At 36.7% G+C, this 18301-nt stretch overlaps 1 protein-coding gene across 15 annotated transcripts in view; it reads right to left on the bottom strand.

Annotated features, from left to right (window-relative positions):
* LRRCC1 (leucine rich repeat and coiled-coil centrosomal protein 1) overlaps nt 591–18301 on the bottom strand; it is a 38843-nt gene continuing 21132 nt past the window's right edge. For 8 of the 15 annotated variants that reach the window (NM_001349637.2, XM_017013920.2, NM_033402.5 and 5 more), the window contains 10 exons: nt 17292–17496; nt 16613–16752; nt 14710–14911; nt 11639–11824; nt 10708–10882; nt 9044–9207; nt 8428–8636; nt 8196–8333; nt 5154–5289; nt 591–1282 (listed from right to left, as the gene is read on the bottom strand). In NM_001349637.2, coding sequence (NP_001336566.1) covers nt 1160–1282; nt 5154–5289; nt 8196–8333; nt 8428–8636; nt 9044–9207; nt 10708–10882; nt 11639–11824; nt 14710–14911; nt 16613–16752; nt 17292–17496 — 1678 coding nt within the window. In that variant the 3' untranslated portion in view covers nt 591–1159. Of the gene's footprint in view, nt 1283–5153; nt 5290–8195; nt 8334–8427; nt 8637–9043; nt 9208–10707; nt 10883–11638; nt 11825–14669; nt 14912–16612; nt 16753–17291; nt 17497–18301 lie in introns of those variants that run through there. The other 7 variants (XM_017013921.2, XM_047422364.1, XM_047422367.1 and 4 more) reach the window with 3 other exon arrangements.

Raw genomic sequence — 18301 nt, 5'->3', positions numbered from 1 at the left:
TTTGTTTGTGCTTTAAGAGACAGGGCTCACTATGTTGCCCAGGCTAGTGTTTTAACTCCTGGGCTCAAACAGTTCTCCTGGCTCAGTCTTCCAAAGTGCTGGAATTACAGGCATAAGCCACTGCACCCAGCCATGTAGGGTATTTTAAATCAAATTGAGGGAGTTTTCAGCCATTACTTCTCCAAATATTTACCCCCCTTCTAAGACTCCCATTATACATGTTGTTATGTTTGATGTTGTCTCACAAATTTCAACACAAAGATTATCTATAATGAAATGGGGCCTTCTCTTTATGAAGCACTTAAATTATTTTTGTTCTATTTACTTTTAAAATCTTAGTTCAGTACTGATATCAAGAAAATATATATTTTCTTCCTTTCAGAAATAGAAGAGGGGCATAGTACTTAAGACTTTTGTTCTGCATACTAGCATATGATGTGACAAAAGTGAAACAGTAATACAGTAATGACCTGGTATGGAATGAAATGAATTACTGCTTCCAGTTACATTATCAGAATTTCTTCATATACAGTTATTAGAAGGGAGAATGAAGGTGGAACAGTGGTGTTCCTCTTCAGGAACAGACAATATTTATAAAACCTTAAATGTAATCTTTAATGAAAAGATATAAGCATTATAAAAGAAGGGGTCATAATGAGTGATGTGGAGATGGCTACATATACTTTCTTAAGAATGCCACATCTTTTATCATACAGATTTCAAATGCTTTTTGGCTACATAAGTACTTTAAAAGAATTGAGCTACATCAATTAAATAACAAATATAATTAGTTCTTCATCATCACAATAAGATAACAATGATTAAAATGTTTTACCTCATATGGTGAAAATACTAATCTTTTCATTCACAAATTTGTAGGCAAATGTGTAATTACCAAACAATGTATAGTACAGAAACAAGAAAAATATTGTAAGTCTAGTTATGATAGTTTTTTCTAATAGACAAAATTGTCAACAATTTATTATAAAAAACCTATACAATTAATAAATACTTGATCAAAAGTCTTTAAAAATATATTCATAATGAAATGTATAGAAAGAGACATTTCAAAGTCATAGCAGTTACTACTATTACAATATTTAATCATTTTTACAATAGGTCTGCTGGTCTATTTCAATTAAATTCATTCTCAGAACCATCACATATCTTGCTGAATTTCATTTAAAGCAAAAGCAAGTTGCTTAATTTTTGCTTCCATTGTTTTTTTGTTCTTGCATGTTTCTTCCAAAAGTTCACGCATTTCTTTTTCAATTTGATGGACCTAAATCGACATGTAAATTTTACATTTTAATTTCTTAAAGAAAATGTATTTTTAAAATGCATTCTGAAAGAAAAGGTCCAAAATTTATTCTTACACATTTTGAAATTTGTGATGTATTTAAAGAAATGTCAGTAAAATGTAACTTGCTCAAATGCTAATAGGAAAAATACAGTATTTATACAGTATACAAAGTACTTTCATGCATTAATATATTATCTACTTAGTTTTCATAAACTTGTGAAAAAGACATGGCTATATATATATATATATACACACATATATTTATATGCATTTATTTATTTATTTTTTGAGATGGAGTCTTGCTCTGTCGCCCAGGCTGGAGTGCAGTGGTGCGATCTCAGCTCACTGCAAGCTCCGCCTCCTGGGTTCACGCTATTCTCCTGCCTCAGCCTCCCAAGCAGTTGGGACTACAGGTGCCCGCTACCATGCCCGGCTAACTTTTTTATTTTTTTTTTATTTTTAGTAGAGATGGGGTTTCACTGTGTTAGCCAGGATGGTCTCGATCTCCTGACCTCATGATCCGCCCACCTCGGCCTCCCAAAGTGCTGGGATTACAGGTGTGAGCCACTACGCCTGGCCAAGACATGGCAATATATTTTAACTTGGCCGGGTGTGGTGGCTCACACCTGTAATCCCAGCACTTTGGGAGGCCGAAGTGGGCAGATCACTTGAGGTCAGGAGTTTAAGACCAGCCTGGCCAACATGGAGAAACCCTGCCTTTGCTAAAAATACAAAATTAGCCAGGTGTGGTGGTACACAACTGTACCCAGCTACTCAGGAAGCTGAGGGAGGAGTCACTTGAACCCAGGAGGTGGAGGTTGCAGTAAGGCAAGATAGTGCCATTGCACTCCAGCCAGAACAAGAGTGAAACTCCATCTCAAAAAAAAAAAAAATATATATATATATATATATATATATATATACACACACACACACACATACACACACACACACACACACACACATTTTAACTCTATTTTAGAGCTTAGAAAATCTGTTTATAGTTGTACAGTTTCTATATATCATAGCTAGGACAGAGAATCCCATGCTTTTGGTTAATCTGTCTACAGTCCTATACTGCTTATCAATGCTGAGTCACAAGTTCAGCTTAAACACCAGTTCCTTATAGATTTTTAAAACTGAAATAACCTCCCTCCCCAAAGAAACCCTATCTTTAATGTAGTGCCTACAGCTTTTCTAAAAACACTGTTGGTGGTTATATATTACCATCTTTTTGAGAGATCATTTTATCATTTATTCCTAACCTACATTCTCCTAGGAGTTGCTGTAGTTGATATTGTTAACTTCTAATTGAAATTGTCTTTCCTACGATATCGTAACACTTCTGATAATGTTACCAATATGACCATTTTTCTGTTTACTTCATGCTTCCTAAACCCTAATATAGATCTCTCAATCTCTTTTCCCTTAGAAAACTAATATTTCTCCCAATTTAAATAATCACTATTATGTGATACCTCATAATCCCCTGCCTGCAAACCTAATTATCATATTTAAGCTCTAGTGCTATTTCTAAAACTCTTTCCTTTGATATTACTTCAAACACTTCCCTTAAGTGTTTAAACCTTAAACTTATTTAGTATTAAGGTTAATACTTAAACATTACTATTAACTTATTTAGTATTACCTGTAACCTTATTTAAGGTTTAAACCTTATTTAGTATTACCTGATGTACCCTTGTTAAACACTTGGTAGGTTTTTAAAATTTTGAGATAGGATATTGTTGTCACCCAGGCTGCAGTGCAGTGGTATGATCACAGCTCACCATAGTCCCGAACTCCTGGGTTCAAGCAATCCTCCCATCTCAGCCTCCTGAGGAGACAGGTCTACAGGCGTGTACCACCATGCCAGGCTAATTAACACATTTTTTTGTAGCGACAAGGTCTTGCTATGTTGCCCAGGCTGGTCTTGAACTCCTGGTCTTGAGTGATCCTTCCACCTCAACCTCAACCTCCTAATAAGTGTTGGGATTACAGGTGTAAGCCTCCATGCCCAGCCTAAATTTGGTAGCCTTTTTTTTTTTTGAGACAGAGTTTCACTCTTGTTGCCCAGGCTGGAGTGCAATGGTGTGATCTCAGCTCACCACCAATTCTGCCTCCTGGGTTCAAGCAATTCTCCTGCCTTAGCCTCCCAAGTAGCTGGATTACAGGCATGTGCCACCATGCCCAGCTAATTGTATTTTTAGTAGAGATGAGGTTTCTCCATGTTGGTCAGGCTAGTCTCGAACTCCCAACCTCAGGTGATCCAGCCGCCTCAGCCTCCCAAAGTGCTGGGCTTACAGGCATGAGACACTGCACCCAGCCTGCATTTGGTAGTTTTTAAGTAAAATATTTGGAACATCTGTTCACCTGAAACAAAACACTGAATTTTGGACAAGTTATATTCTTACTCATTGTGATTATTTCCAAAGACCTCACTCCCTCTTTTTCTTTGCACAGAGTCCTGAGGATAATGTCATTTAAACACACAACCTTGATTATAATTTTTCTTTTCTTTTCTTTTTTTTTTTTTTTTGAGACAGGGTCTCGCTCCGTAGTCCAGGCTAGAGTGCAACGTGACACAATCTTGGTGCACTGAAACCTCTGCCTCCAGGGCTCAAGTGATCCTGTGACCTCAGCCTCCCAAATAGCTGTGACTACAGGCATGCGCCACCACACCCAGCTAATTTTTGTATTTTTAGTGGAGATGGGGTTTCACCTTGTTGGCCAGGCTGGTCTTGAATTCCTTAGCTCAACTGATCCACCAGCCTCGGCCTCCGCTGGGATTACAGGCTTGAGCCACTGTGCCCAGCCATATAATTTCTATATGGAGCATTACTTTGCCTTTCTGTTGGTGAACTCTTTTATAGTTGCTGATTTCTGCATCTCTAGTTTTACAGATACCTTAGTTTCTTATTACCACTTCAGAAGCAGGAAAAAATGGAAATTCATATTATCTCACCAGAGAGGTCACATAAGAATCACCTGTGGAATTAAAAAAATACCTGAGTCTGACTCCAGACTTAGTGAATGAGTCTCTGAGGGGAAGTTCATGAATATGGTGTTTTTTTTCTTTGAGACAGAATCTTGCTTTGTCACTAGGCTGGAGTGCAGTGGCGCAATCTCGGCTCACTGCAACCTCCACCTCCGGGTTCAAGCCATTCTCCTACCTCAGCCTCCCGAGTAGCTGGAATTACAGGTGCTCACCACCACGCCCAGCTAATTTTTGTATTTTTAGTAGAGAAGGGGTTTCACCATGTTGGCCAGGGTGGTCTTGATCTCCTAACCTCATGATCCACCCGCCTTGGCCTCCCAAAGTGCTGGGATTACTTGCGTGAGCCACTGCGCCCGGCCTGAATGTGTATTATTAAAAAGCTTCATAGGTGCTTCTGATGTTTCCCTCTGATTTAGCATTACTCTAAACTCATTACTTTATTAATAATATTGAGATAATAAAGTTGATAGTCTTGAACCCTAATACTCTGATAACTTTTTCCAAGGTGGTGATGGATTATGTTTAATACCTTCAGATTCTCACCCTGCCTATGTGTAACCAAAGAGACTCCTATCCAAGATTAGTTAGATATGAAATTTTTATCCAGAGAGCAGAGAAAGTACACACTAGAATCAAATGTACAAGTTTTGCTTAGAAATTAGAATTATGTTCTACAATTAATCTAAGTATTACCAACGTTTTACCCTGGTTTTAGGATAGTTTTGGTAACATTCTTTATATCTATTTGGTCATGAGATCATGTTGCCTTTTCTCTTTATAATTCTCGAAGATCTAATTTATTTAGCTATAATCATGTAATATACTGATTATTGAAGTGAATTTTACTTACAATACCTTTAAATTTGCAGAATCAATACACTTCTGCTTTTCATTGGCCAGCTGTGCTATTTCAGCTTGATGAGCTTCAACAATTGCATCAACTTGTCTTTTAAAGGCATCATCCATACTATGAAGTTTTTCCATTGCATTCCTTAAAAAAACAAGAACATCCACATATATATGTGTATATGTGGTGTGAATGTAAAGATTAGGATGTTATTTCTTCTCGGGTGGCTCACATTCATACTAATGGAAACATAACTCAGTATTATGAAAATATCAAAGGCTATTATAGGGTAACTAAAGATATAAGTAAGTAGTTCATCATCCAGCAGAATCTATTAGGATAACATTAGGTTAGGATAATATATCACTAATGTTTTTTACACTTTCATTTTCTGAAAGTTAGAGTACTCTGTTTCCCCATTTATTTTGAGTCTAGGAGTATAGTTTTTTATTTTATTTTTGAGACAGGGTCTGGCTGTGTCACTCAGGCTGGAGTGCAGTGGCATGATCATGGCTCAAGGCAACCTCTGGCTCCCAGGTTCAAGTGATTCTCATGCTTCAGCCTCCCAAGTAACTAAGATTACAGGATGTGCACCACCATGGCCCAGCTAATTTTCTGTATTTTTAGTAGAGACAGGGTTTCACTACGTTGGATAGGCTGGTCTTGAACTCCTGGTCTAAAGTGATCTGCCCGCCTCGGCCTCCCAAAGTACTGGGATTACAGAGGTGAGCCACCATTTGGCTTAAGGGTATAGTTTATAAGCACCTTCACAGATGATGACTACTACCAATCTTTTTTCTCCATGTTTTCAATGTGATAATTTGAGAAGTGCATACTACAGATGGTTTAAGTTTATGAATATGTATTTTTGACTTCCTTATGGTAATGCTTAGTGGACGAAACACATTAAATGGTATTCACAAAATTTTCATACTAAAAGTATCCTGGAGGTAAAACAATTCCTTTATATAAATACAAATAATACTATTTAAAAAGTAACATTCATAAAAAGAGCACATTTTCTGGTTTTAGTACAGCAATCAGTAATAACAGATTAAACATAAGGAACATGCATCAAAAGCCTTTTTAAAATTGTATGACTTAGTAGCCAAGTGACTAGTGGCAAGTCACAAGCTGAGTTTTTCAACTATAAAACAGGACTGTTCTGCCAACCTTACAGGATTACTGTTGGGTTCAAAATAAGATAGAAGAAATCAACCTATAAATTTTAAAAAGCTATACAAGTAAAACCTGTTATTATTTATAATAATTGGCTTATTTTATTACAATTCCCTTAAATTAAAAAGTATACCAGTCTTAGTCATAAAGACAATTCATGTATAAAATCAGGTCTGCATTTTTATATTAACGGTATAATGAATAATGCAATGGAAAAGTCTGAAGATTGTTAGGTTTTATAATTTTTATTAGTTTTTTTTGGCTAATTATAGAATATGACTTTCTTTTAGAATCTCAAAGACTCCTAATTGTAAATTTGTTACTGGCAGGATAAAAAATTGCAACAGATTCCAAGCCAAAGTTCTTGTATTAGTACTTGGTTGAAAGCAAAGTGGAACAGAATCTATCAACAGAAAACAACTGTGCTATCAACCAAAACTTTCTGCAGTGTAACAACACTTTCCCATTAGACTGAGTCAAAACAAGAAATCAAATTCCAGGTTACATTAGATTTGACATAATTAGAACCTATCTTTAAGTGAGATTTTTGGGCTATCCATAGATAGCCATGTTATCTGTATCACTCTATCTTCACACGAGAATTAATCATTAAGCTGTGCTACTTAATTCTGAAGGTTCCAACTTTATAACTTATTTTTAACAAGTCTAGTTATATTTTTTAACACAGTAAAACCTTATTTCCTCTTGAGCATTTTATGGAACCCACAGAACAGTGGCAGCCAGGTACACATTTTATTTCCTCTCTTTAAAATCGGCTCTCGGCCGGGCGTGGTGGCTCACCCCTGTAATCCCAGCACTTTGGCAGGCCGAGGCGGGTGGATCACCTGAGGTCAGGAGTTCGAGACCAGACTGGCCAACATGGTGAAACTCAGTCTCTACTAAAAATACAAAAAATTAGCTGGGCGTTGTGGTGCATGCCTGTAATCCCAGCTACTCGGGAGGCTGAGGCAGGAGAATCGCTTGAACCCAGGAGGTGGAAGTTGCAGTGAGCCCAGATCGTGCCATTGCACTCCAGCCTGGGCAATAAGAATGAAACTCAGTCTCGGAAAAACAAACAAAAAAATTGGCTCTCATCCTCAGCTTGTGCTGGCAACTGCTATCTAAATGTGCTCCAGCCTCCTCAGGAGCTCATTGACCCTGGTAGTCAACTGGCAGTCTCCTCTAAATTCCACTTTCAACAACTAAAATATCACTAGCTGCTTTCATTCAAACACAGTTTAAAATGCTCATCGTAATAAAAACAAAATGTTCATATAGCAATTCTTTTTTTTTTCTTTTTGAGACAAAGTTTCGCTCTTGTTGCCCAGGCTGGAGTGCAATGGTGTGATCTCAGCTCACTGCAACCTCCGCCTCCTGGCTTCAAGTGATTCTCTGGCCTCAGCCTCCTGAGTAGCTGGGATTACAGGCGCTTGCCACCACGCCTGGCTAATTTTTTCTATTTTTAGTAGAGATGGGGTTTCATCGTGTTGGCCAGGCTAGTCTTGAACTCCTAATCTCAGGTGATCCACCCACCTCGGCCTCCCAAAGCGCTGGGATTGCAGGCGTGAGCCACCGTGTGCAGCCTCATATAGCAATTCTTATGTGTCAGGCACTGTTCTAAGAACTAGATAATTCATATAAGCCACATCTATTCATAAATACACACATATATATCAAATGTCAACCTCTTATCTAACATTTAAGGTAGGTGCTACTGCTATCTTCATTTTACAGATGAAATGGAAATAAACTTCTTGGCAAATAACTATGTCTTACATGATTTTTAGCCCTCCTCTCTTTATACGTATTTCACCCATTCCACAGTGTTTACGATTAAGGAGATCTCAAATCCTTTAGAACCTAATGCTTACTTTTGTAGTTCAATACTTTTGTCTCTTTCCGCTTTAAGTTTCTTTTCCTTGTTTTCAAATTTTTCTTTCACTTCTTTTACTTGTGTTTCAAGATGACATAGAAGTTCTCCTTTATCATGCCACTTCCGATTCAGTGTACTAATATGAGAAGTAATTTGAAAAATAAATTGGGTTTATTAAATTATTAAGCCACATTTTATTTCTCAGTGGGAAATACTGTACTATATAATACCTGTAAGCTTTTCTGATTTCTTCAAGTTCTACTTCCTTTCCTTTCAACTGTTGTTTTAGTTTTTCTTTTCTTTCATTGTGCCTTTCCAACTTCTCAAGTACCTCATCCAGTTGTGAAGATTTTTCATCAAGTTGTTCTTGAGTGCATTTTTCTATTTCTGTGATCTTTTCTTGTAATCTTTTGATGTGTTCATCTTTTTCTTGTAAACACTTTAAGAAAAAAATTGGCACTTTGTTTTTATTAACTTTAAATGCTTCATATTCTGGTTAATTAGATATGGTTTAATTTATCCTTTAAAATAATATTTTAAACATATAAAATGTTCATTTTCTTGTGACTCCTAACCCTTAATTGACATTGGGTATTTCCAGTTATTCCAAAGGCCATAATAAGATTCTCCATTAAATTCTGAAGTATAAAGTTCATTCCAAATTAATAAATATCATGTAGAACTTTTTAAGAGCAAAAGGGCAAATATTATAAAAAGAAATGCATGATATCTACCCCAAATTTTACAACAGTTGGAAAACACTGAAAAACAGCTTTTGGATACTTTGATCCAAAGATTTGCAAACCTGCCATTTGCTCTTTAACCAAAATAAAATGTCAAACTTACATCTTTTAATTTTCTAATAGTTTCAGTTTGGTCGTCTATGATTTTGCACTTTATTCTTAATGCATCACTATCACTTTCATTTGTCTTTCGCAGACATTCATTCTCTCTAGATAAACTCTCAATTTGAGCCTCCAATTTTCCACGATTTTGGGCTAGAGAAGATCCTAAGAAACAAAAATCATCAATTACATACTTTGAAACACCTTGGGGGTTTGTATCTTATTAAACTCTAACAAACTGTAATATAATAATAATAAAAAAACTAAATAAAGAAACATAGCTTATAATAGTACAATATGAAGAGGAAAGGGGAAGCAAACAAAAAGGCCTCTTAAACACTTGTGGTTATTTCAAAACCTGAAACCACAAATAAAGTTGAGAACAAGTAACTCAGATATGTAATATTAATTCATGTTATGACATTCAAACAAACAAGAGCATATTAAAAATTCCTACAGAGAATGAACAAATAAGGAATGCTCCATTAAGACCAAATATCTTGGCTGGGTGCAGCTGCTCACTCCTGTAATCCTAGCACTTTAGGAAGCTGAGGTGGGCAGATCACTTGAGGTCAGGAGTTTGAAACCAGCCTGGCCAACATGGTGAAACCCTGTCTCTACTAAAAATACAAAAAAATTAGCCGGGCATAGTGGCTCATGCCTGTAATCCCAGCTATTGGGGAGGATGAGGCAGGAGAATTGCTTGAACCCGGGAGGTGGAGTTGTAGTGAGCCGAGATCACACCACTGCACTTCAGCCTGGGCAACAGAGTGAGACTTGTCTCAAAAGAAAAAGACCAAATATCTAGCTATTCATAATTTTAAAGGTATCTGTGAATGCAAACAAAACAAAACAAAACAAAAGAAACCAGTATATATCTCTTGCTTTACAATGATTGGAAAGGGAATGAAACTGAGGATTTACTAAAAAATAGTTTTCATTTATATAATATTTTAATTTGTGCATGCACAATAAATGTTGCATATATCAGAAAAGAAAATTAAATGTGTATACTGTACAAATAACTTAAAATCACTGTATAAGAATTACTTTTGGCCGGGTACGGTGGGTCACGCCTGTAATCCCAGCACTTTGGGAGGCCAAGGTGGGCGGATCACCTGAGGTCAGGAGTTTGAGACCAGCCTGGCCAACATGGTTAAACCCCGTCTATACTAAAAATACAAAAATTAGCCAGGTGTGGCGGCACATGGCTGTAATCCCAGCTACTCGGGAGGCTGAGGCAGGAGAATCACTTGAACCCAGAAGGCAGAGGTTGCAGTAAGCCGAGACTGCGCTACTGCACTCCAGCCTGGGCAACGAGAGCAAAACTCTGTCTCAAAAAAAAAAAAGAATTATTTTTAACAATATATTCAGATGCTGATTTGTAAAAGCACCCATGGTTCAGAATAGTAGTCAAATTATCATGGGAAACAAAATTTAAAAAACCAGAGCCATAACTTCTTCATTGGTGTAATAAACTATTTCTCATTTCCTAAGAGGTCTTCATTCCCCTGTAGCTGGCAAATGCCTACTTATCCTTCCAGATAAAGGGTCACCTTTTTTCTTGGCATCTTTAGGCAGAGTTGAGTCTTTTTCTCTCCAATACCCAGATTTGCTCATTTATAAGAATAAGCTATTTTCCCTTTGAAAATCTGAGAATTTTACCTTGTTGTGCCAGCTCATGTCCCCATACTTTTCTTTCTGTCCTTAAACCAAATATTAGTGATTCCTTGGCTGCTAGCTCAGAAATAAGCTGGACTTTTTCGTGCTTGAGAAGTTCTATTTGAATACTCTTCTGCTTGTCATCTTCAATTAAAATTTCAAGGGTGTTGATTTGATTCTGTATATTCCCAAAAAAAAAAATAAGAATTATTATATTAAGTGCTTTATTTTCTATTTTTTCCATCTTATAATGAGAAAAAATGTTATTTAAGCAAATACAAGTAAATATTACCAAATTTTACATCAGAAGTTTTAGTTTTACTAAAGACAAATGTAGGTCATGAAATAAACAGTCGAATTTAAGATACCACTCCTTTAAACAATCTGAATTTTATTCTAAAATTGTTAAAGAGAAACTATACCTGTAATACTCAAAATTTTTCACGAGCATTTATATCAATAGTGTTAAAGGTCATTTTCCAGAAACAAATTTTGGGTAAAATAGCATTAATGTTTAAAATTGAGACAACAGCAATAAAGACATTAATTTAATGATTATTACATCTAAGTATATCTAAAACCACCAGCATCACCACCACAAAATTAATACCAGCAATCCAAGTGGTGCTTCCCAAACTTTAACCATTTGAGTATCACTTCCACAATTTTTGTTGTATCACTATACTACTGGCACCTATTTAATTGAACATGTTTCTTAAAACTAATTTACTTATTTTACCTAATTGCTATCTCATGAGCAATACAATTTGTGAAATCATGAGCTTAATTTCTTTAGTTATACTATTTTTCTTATATGCAATATATAATTAGTATCATTTAAAAGTTCCTTTCGTGTACTTCCTAAATTTATCACAACCCACTTGAGAAAATAATGTAAAAAAATTTTAAAACATATAATGTTGCAAAGTCTTACCTGTAAATTTGCTGCTGTTTCTTGTTTCAATTTAGAAACTTCTGCCAGTTTTGTTTTTTGTTCCTTTACCATACAGGTCAGATCTTTAATTAAAGAGGAAGACTCATTTTCTTTTCGTTGAGCCCAAATAAGAGCATGTTTGCTCTTTGCTAACTCAGTTGCAACATTTTCAAAACCATCTTTAACCTATATTCCAAAATTGTATTATAAATAGCAGTTCTCCAAATAATTAGAAAATATTTGCTTCTGGAAATAGTATCACAGTTTTAGCAAAAGAATAAGATTTAAAGATAATCTGTTTCAATCTAGTAATTTCCAGATGATGAAACAGAGATCCAGGATGATGATTATATATTTGCCTAAAGTGACCCAGGGAATTAGTGACAAATCTAAAGCCAGAAATCATTTATTTGGGCTGGGCGCGGTGGCTGATGCCTGTAATCTCAGCACTTTGGGAGGCCAAGGAGGGCAGATCACTTGAGGTCAGAAGTTTGAGACCAGCCTGGCCAAAATGGTAAAACCCTATCTCTACTAAAAATACAAAAATTAGCCGGGTGTGGTGGTGCACACCTGTAAAATCCCAGCTACTTGGGAGGCTGAGGCAGGAGAATCACTTGAACCCGGGAGGAGGAGGCTGCAGTGAGCCGAGATAGCACCACTGCACTCCAGCCTGGGTGGCCAGATATTGCTCTAGCACTGAAATGCATCAGTGAATACCACAGAATAAAATCTTTGCTTTTGTAAAGCTTAAATTCTAGGTGGCAGGCACTGACAATATAACAACAAGCATAATAAATTATACAACATGTTAGATGATACTATATGCTTGGGTAAAAGGTTAGAAGGATGTGAAGTGTGTGAAGTGTTGGGAGATGTGGGTTCAATTTTAACTGGCATAATCACTGAGAATGCAACAATGGAGCAATGACTGGAAGGAGGTAGGGAATGGAGCCATGCAAATGTGTGGGAAAGGAGTGTTCTAGGCAGGAATGTGCCTGATACATTGGAGGAATAGGAAGAAGGCTGTTGTCACTGGAGTGGTGTAAATGAAGGGGAAGGTAGTAGGAGATGAACTCAGAGGGTTAGATTGTGAAGTGTTTTGACCACTACTCTGAATAAAATGAAGGGACAATGGAGGTCTTTGAAGAGAGGAGTCATATTACCAAACATGTATTTTAAAAGAACATTCTAGCTGCTGTGTTTGGCATAAACAGAGGGGGGTAGGGGAAGGATAGAGGCAGGAAGATTAACTTGAAAGCTCTTAATATAATACAAGATACTGTGACATACCAGAGTGGCTGTGTTAGAGGTGGTAAGAAATGGCCACATGTATATTTTTTAAATAAGGGTGACAGAATCTCTTGAGGTACTGAATGTGTAGTGTCACAGAAAGAGTAATCAACAATGACTTTGTTTTTGGCTTAAGCACCTAGAAGGATGGAGTTGTCTTTAACTGGGACAGGAGAAATGTCAAAGTAGAAGGTTTGGGGGTAAAATTAGCAGTGAAGTAGAATATGTTAAATAGGTGGTTAGACATAGAAGTTTAAAATTCTTGCAAAACGTCCAGGCTGGAGATATAATGATGCTAGAGGAGTTTACCAAGAGAATGAGTGTGTATAGAAAAGAAAAGGAATTTAAGGGCTGAAAACTTGGGCACTGCAATAATGAAACTGTGGACAAAAGAGAAACAAAGAGACTGAAAAGAAGTGACGTAATGGAAAGCCAAGAAAACCAAGAAATGCAGTGTGCTGGAAACCAAGCAAAGAAAGAGTATGGAAGAGGAGAAAGCTATCAACCCTGTCTAATCCTGCACCTAGGTCAAATCAGATGAGGACAAATTTGACTCACAACTTTCATAGTGTGGATATTGCTGGTGGCTTTGATAGCGCAATGCTAGTAGAGCAATAGAGATAAAAGCCAGATGAGAGCAGGTTGGAGAAGAGAGAAGTAGAGAAATCAAAGACAGCAAATGCACAATTTTGATATGTTCTGTTGTAAATGGAAGCAGAGAAACAACATAGTAGTCAAAGGAAGAAATGGAATCAAGAGAGTTTTCTTAAGATAAGAGAAATCACAGCATGTTTGTATGCTGAAGGGAATGATCCAATATAGCGGAAAAACTGAAGATGTAAGAGAGTAAGAAAGAAGACTTACTGAAGCCATATCTTTAAGTAGGCAAGAGGAAATGGGATCTACTATACGTTTGGTGGGACTGGTCAGAGGAGCACAATTATTCCTCTATAGCAGGGGTTACCAAACTTTTTCTAGAAAGTACCAGACAGTAAACTGTTAGGCTATACAGGCCAGGCCATATGAACTCTGTTGAAAGTACTCAACTACGGCTGGGCACAGTGGCTCACGCCTGTAATCCCAGGACTTTGGGAGGCCGAGGCAGGCGGATCATCTGAGATCAGGAGTTCGAGACCAGCCTGACCAACATGATGAAATCCTGTCTCTACTAAAAATACAAAAATTAGGCGGGCGTGGTGGCCTGTGACTGTAGTCCCAGCTACTTGGGAGGCTGAGACAGCAGAACTGCTTGAATCTGGGAGGCAGAAATTGGAGTGAGCCAAGATCATGCCACTGCACCATTCCAGCCTGGGCAACAGAGCGAGACTCTATCTGAAACAAAAAAAAAAAAAAAAAAAAAAAAAAAAGAAAGTACTCAACTGTGCTTTTGTAATGGAAAAGCAGCCATAGATAATATGTAAAAAATGAGCATGGCTCTGTTCCAAAAAAGCTTTACTTTAAAGAGAAATAGGCAGTGGGCCATATTTGGCCTGGGGGCTTTAGTTTTGCCAATCCCTGCTCTACAGTAATAGGAGGGAATTCAGGTTCTCAGATTCCTATTCCAGTGCTCTATAACATTTATAATCTTACTTAGTTTTTGCAAGAGCAGTAAATAGTAGCTATTATTTATTTGAGGAAACTAAGGCCTCTAAGAATTTATATATTTTACTTAAGATTATGAAGCCAACATTTAATACAGCTATGTTTCTAAAACAAGTCCTCTCATCAAACCATATCTTACTGATTCTGTTTTCAATAAAAAGCTGGGTGCCAATTCTTACATCTTGAAATCTTCTGGCTTCAACAGTTAAAGCAATACGGAATTCATTTTCTAAATCCATATACTGCTGGCTTAACACGTCAATTTTCTCTTGGTATTCTTTTATCATTTGCTCATGCTTTTTCTCTTCTTTGGCTATTTCTTTAGCTAAGGCATCCTGGAAGTCAGCATCAGTAAAAAACTCCCTTGTTTCAAGTTCCTTCCTGGAGTGAAAAACATATAAAGATAAAAGGATGATACTCACCTGAAAAGAAACATTTTAAAGGTCTTTACGTAGTTCTTAATATTCTATATTCAGTATTGTTAATTCAGTATCAGCCTCTCACTTTCAAACGCAGTAATTGGGCATAGATAGGTACAAATAATATGAGTTTTATTTGATTGTGTATTTAATAGTGATGGAGATAAGGGAAGTATGTCAAATCTTAACTTCATGAGATAGTTCAGAATCATTCTATGGCTTCAGAAATTCTTCAGATGCATTTGCATAAGATGCTTCACTGTATCTACTACTTTGGCCGAGTCTTTGACTTGCAATAAATACAGTCTGATTAGCACTGGTGGTTTGTTAATAGAAAAAGTCAGTTAAAGTGTAAAATTATTTACTAATCTTTTGATATTGGGCCAGTTAGTTCATTCTTTACGGTTCTCCACTACTTTTCTTGCATTACTCAAACTCATAATGTGAAACCCATTATTTCCAGTTTTTGGTTTCTTTAAACTGGAATGAAACTAAGTAAAGGAAACTAAGTACAAAATTCCTGTAAAGGAAACAAAGTACAAAATTCTAGATTTTTGTGATTATTTTCCCCCAATCTTTTATAATTGTCTCATCTATACAAGATAACAATTTTCCCCAGAGCACCAAAATTTATGTAGACACAAAACAAAACAGGTTTCGGAATAAATACAATTAACATATGATAATCATACAATTTCACTGGTAGGATAGTAAATAGATAACTGAAATAGATAAACTGAAAATGTTGAAATTATTACAGATTCTGTAGAGCAAGAGTTGAGAAACTACAGCCCATCAGCCAAATGTGACCTACTGCCTTTTTCTTTGTAAATACACTTTTATTGGAACACAGCCATGCCGTTCATTTATGTATTATCTATGGCTACTTTTGTGCTACAAAGGCAAAGTTAGGTATGGCCTGCAGAGCCTGAAATATTTTCTATGTGACCCTTTACAGAAAAAGTTCACTGACCCCTCCTTCAGAGGAATAAAGAATACTGATTAATTTACTAATTAATTAACTTGGGGGTCAATTAAAAATTTTCTCTCTATATAAAGACCAACTTTTGGCTGGGTTTGAAGAAATGAACAATAAGCTATATTGTTATAAACCTATACCTCAAATGCTGATAACAAAGGCAACTATTCATTTTTTAGCTACTAGTTCTTGCTATAGGGCTGATTCTAATGTATACATACATGAACACGGCATTTTCCACTAACTAATTCTGTCAGACTTCACCAATGCTCAATCACTATCTTTAAATACTGGTGGTGGGGGCCAGGCGCGGTGGCTCATGCCTGTAATCTCAGCACTTTGGGAGGCCGAGTGGGGCAGATCATGAGGTCAGGAGATCGAGACCATCCTGGTTAACATGGTGAAACCCCATCTCTACTAAAAATACAAAAAAAAAAAAAATTAGCCAGCATGGTGGCGGGCGCCTGTAGTCCCAGCTACTCGGGAGGCTGAGGCAGGAGAATGGCGTGAACTCGGGAGGCAGAGCTTGCAGTGAGCCGAGATTGCGCCATTGCACTCCAGCCTGGACGACAGAGCAAGACTCCGTCTCAAAAAAAAAAAAAAAAAATACTGGTAGTGGGGAACCAGTAGCTTTCTTTTTCTTTTTTTAAATGCCAATACATTCCTGATACATTTTTCATTTACCTGTGTTCCTGTTCTTTCAATGCAAGAAGTTGATGAAGTTGTTGCGCTTGTTCTCTTTCTCGATGAAGGGAAGTTCTAAGTAAGTATATTTCTCTATCGGCAGCTGAAGCTTTGAGTTCCACCTCTTGGATCAGTCTTATCTGAGTAAAATACCCACAATTACATTATTTAGATAATAGTCTCCCCTGCTATTTTAATGTCAGTTTCCATAAGTACCTTTTAAATGACAGTGTCCGGTGACTAAGTTGATTTTCAAACTTTAATAAATTAATGATGTTACAGTCACACAAAGTGCAGCCTTGGAAGGAACAAATACACTAGCATTAACTATTGCTTATTTGCATCACAGATTTTAATGATAATTTCCATTCAGAAAGCATGAAAATGAAATTCCTTCAATCACCTGAAAGCCTTTTAAAAAGCCAGCTCTCTCAGAATAAAAGCCTAACCACCTGCAACATTTCCATCAACTTTTCTTTTTAATTGCTTTGTGTTAAGAGCTAGTAGTCTTAATTTAGACATAATTCAACAGGCTATGTGACCGTTAAATTAACAGCAATTTAATTTTTGCATATGGCCTTACATCTTTTAGGTTTTCTAGGTAGTATAATTTGTTTCACGATAGAAGCTATGAATTTGTGTTAATCTGTGCTACTCATATATTAAAATAGAGAAATACCTGTGCTGCCTGCTGCTGCCTTTTTTGTCTCTCCATTTTTTCTAATGTTTTTTCGAGGGTTCTTAAGTGTTTAAGGTGATCCTCTTGTTGATCTTTTGCTTTCATTAGTTCAACAGTCAGTTTTTTAATTTCATTTTGAAGTTTGTGAACCATAACTTCGAGTTGTCCTTTGGAATTTCTCTCTCTAAAAATAATTTCCTTTAGCCTAAAGCAGAAGTTATATGTGGTGTTAAGTATATTACACATATAAAAATGATAAAATTGTTGACTTCAATGAGAGTACTCTCTGAACTGGTCTTCCTTTGTTCATGCTCTCAACTCCTGTTTGATATGCTATATGAAAGCGTGCTAGACTGTATATGGGTAGGGGCAGGGAAAGCCACAGAGAAACAGAAATGGAACAATCATCTAAGCAACAGTTAAGGGCCTAAAGAAAGGTAACAGTTTTGGGATACAGAGGAGATAGTTCAACATCTTTTAAGATGATATCAATATCAATTGATGAATAAAAGTATCAATAAAGATGGTAATATCAACTGGTTGTGGGATAGGAGAAAGAGAAAGGAAGCAAAAAACAAAGATTCCTAGATTTCTATAGTTTTGGTGACTGACTGGATGCTGGATGGGGCACCATTTATTAGGGCAAGAAATATAAAATAAGGAAGAAGAATGAATCCACCTGAGGCCATGGTGATCTTAAGAAACTTATGAGGAATACAGGCAAGGCATTTTTAGTAGATAATTAGATGAACAGATCTGGTCATCAAGGAGGTTTGGATAATAAAGATACCATAGTAGGTAAGATTCATTTTTTGAAATTGTATATACTCACAGCATGGCACCCACATGCCAGACCCTGCATTAGGGATACAGAGTCCCTACCAAGGCACATAAGGGAACAGGGAGATTGGTAAGGATCTAATCTCAAACAAACATGTGGTGGTGGGGGGGGTGGGGGGGTGGCACAGATAAAAGAAGAATCAGAAAAGATTGATTTTTCATGAGAAAAA

This window comes from Homo sapiens, chromosome 8 (assembly GCF_000001405.40).
Source record: "Homo sapiens chromosome 8, GRCh38.p14 Primary Assembly".
Lineage (NCBI taxonomy): Eukaryota > Metazoa > Chordata > Mammalia > Primates > Hominidae > Homo > Homo sapiens.
The sequence above is the reverse complement of the archived record's forward strand: the minus strand, read 5'-3'. Positions and strand labels throughout refer to the sequence as shown.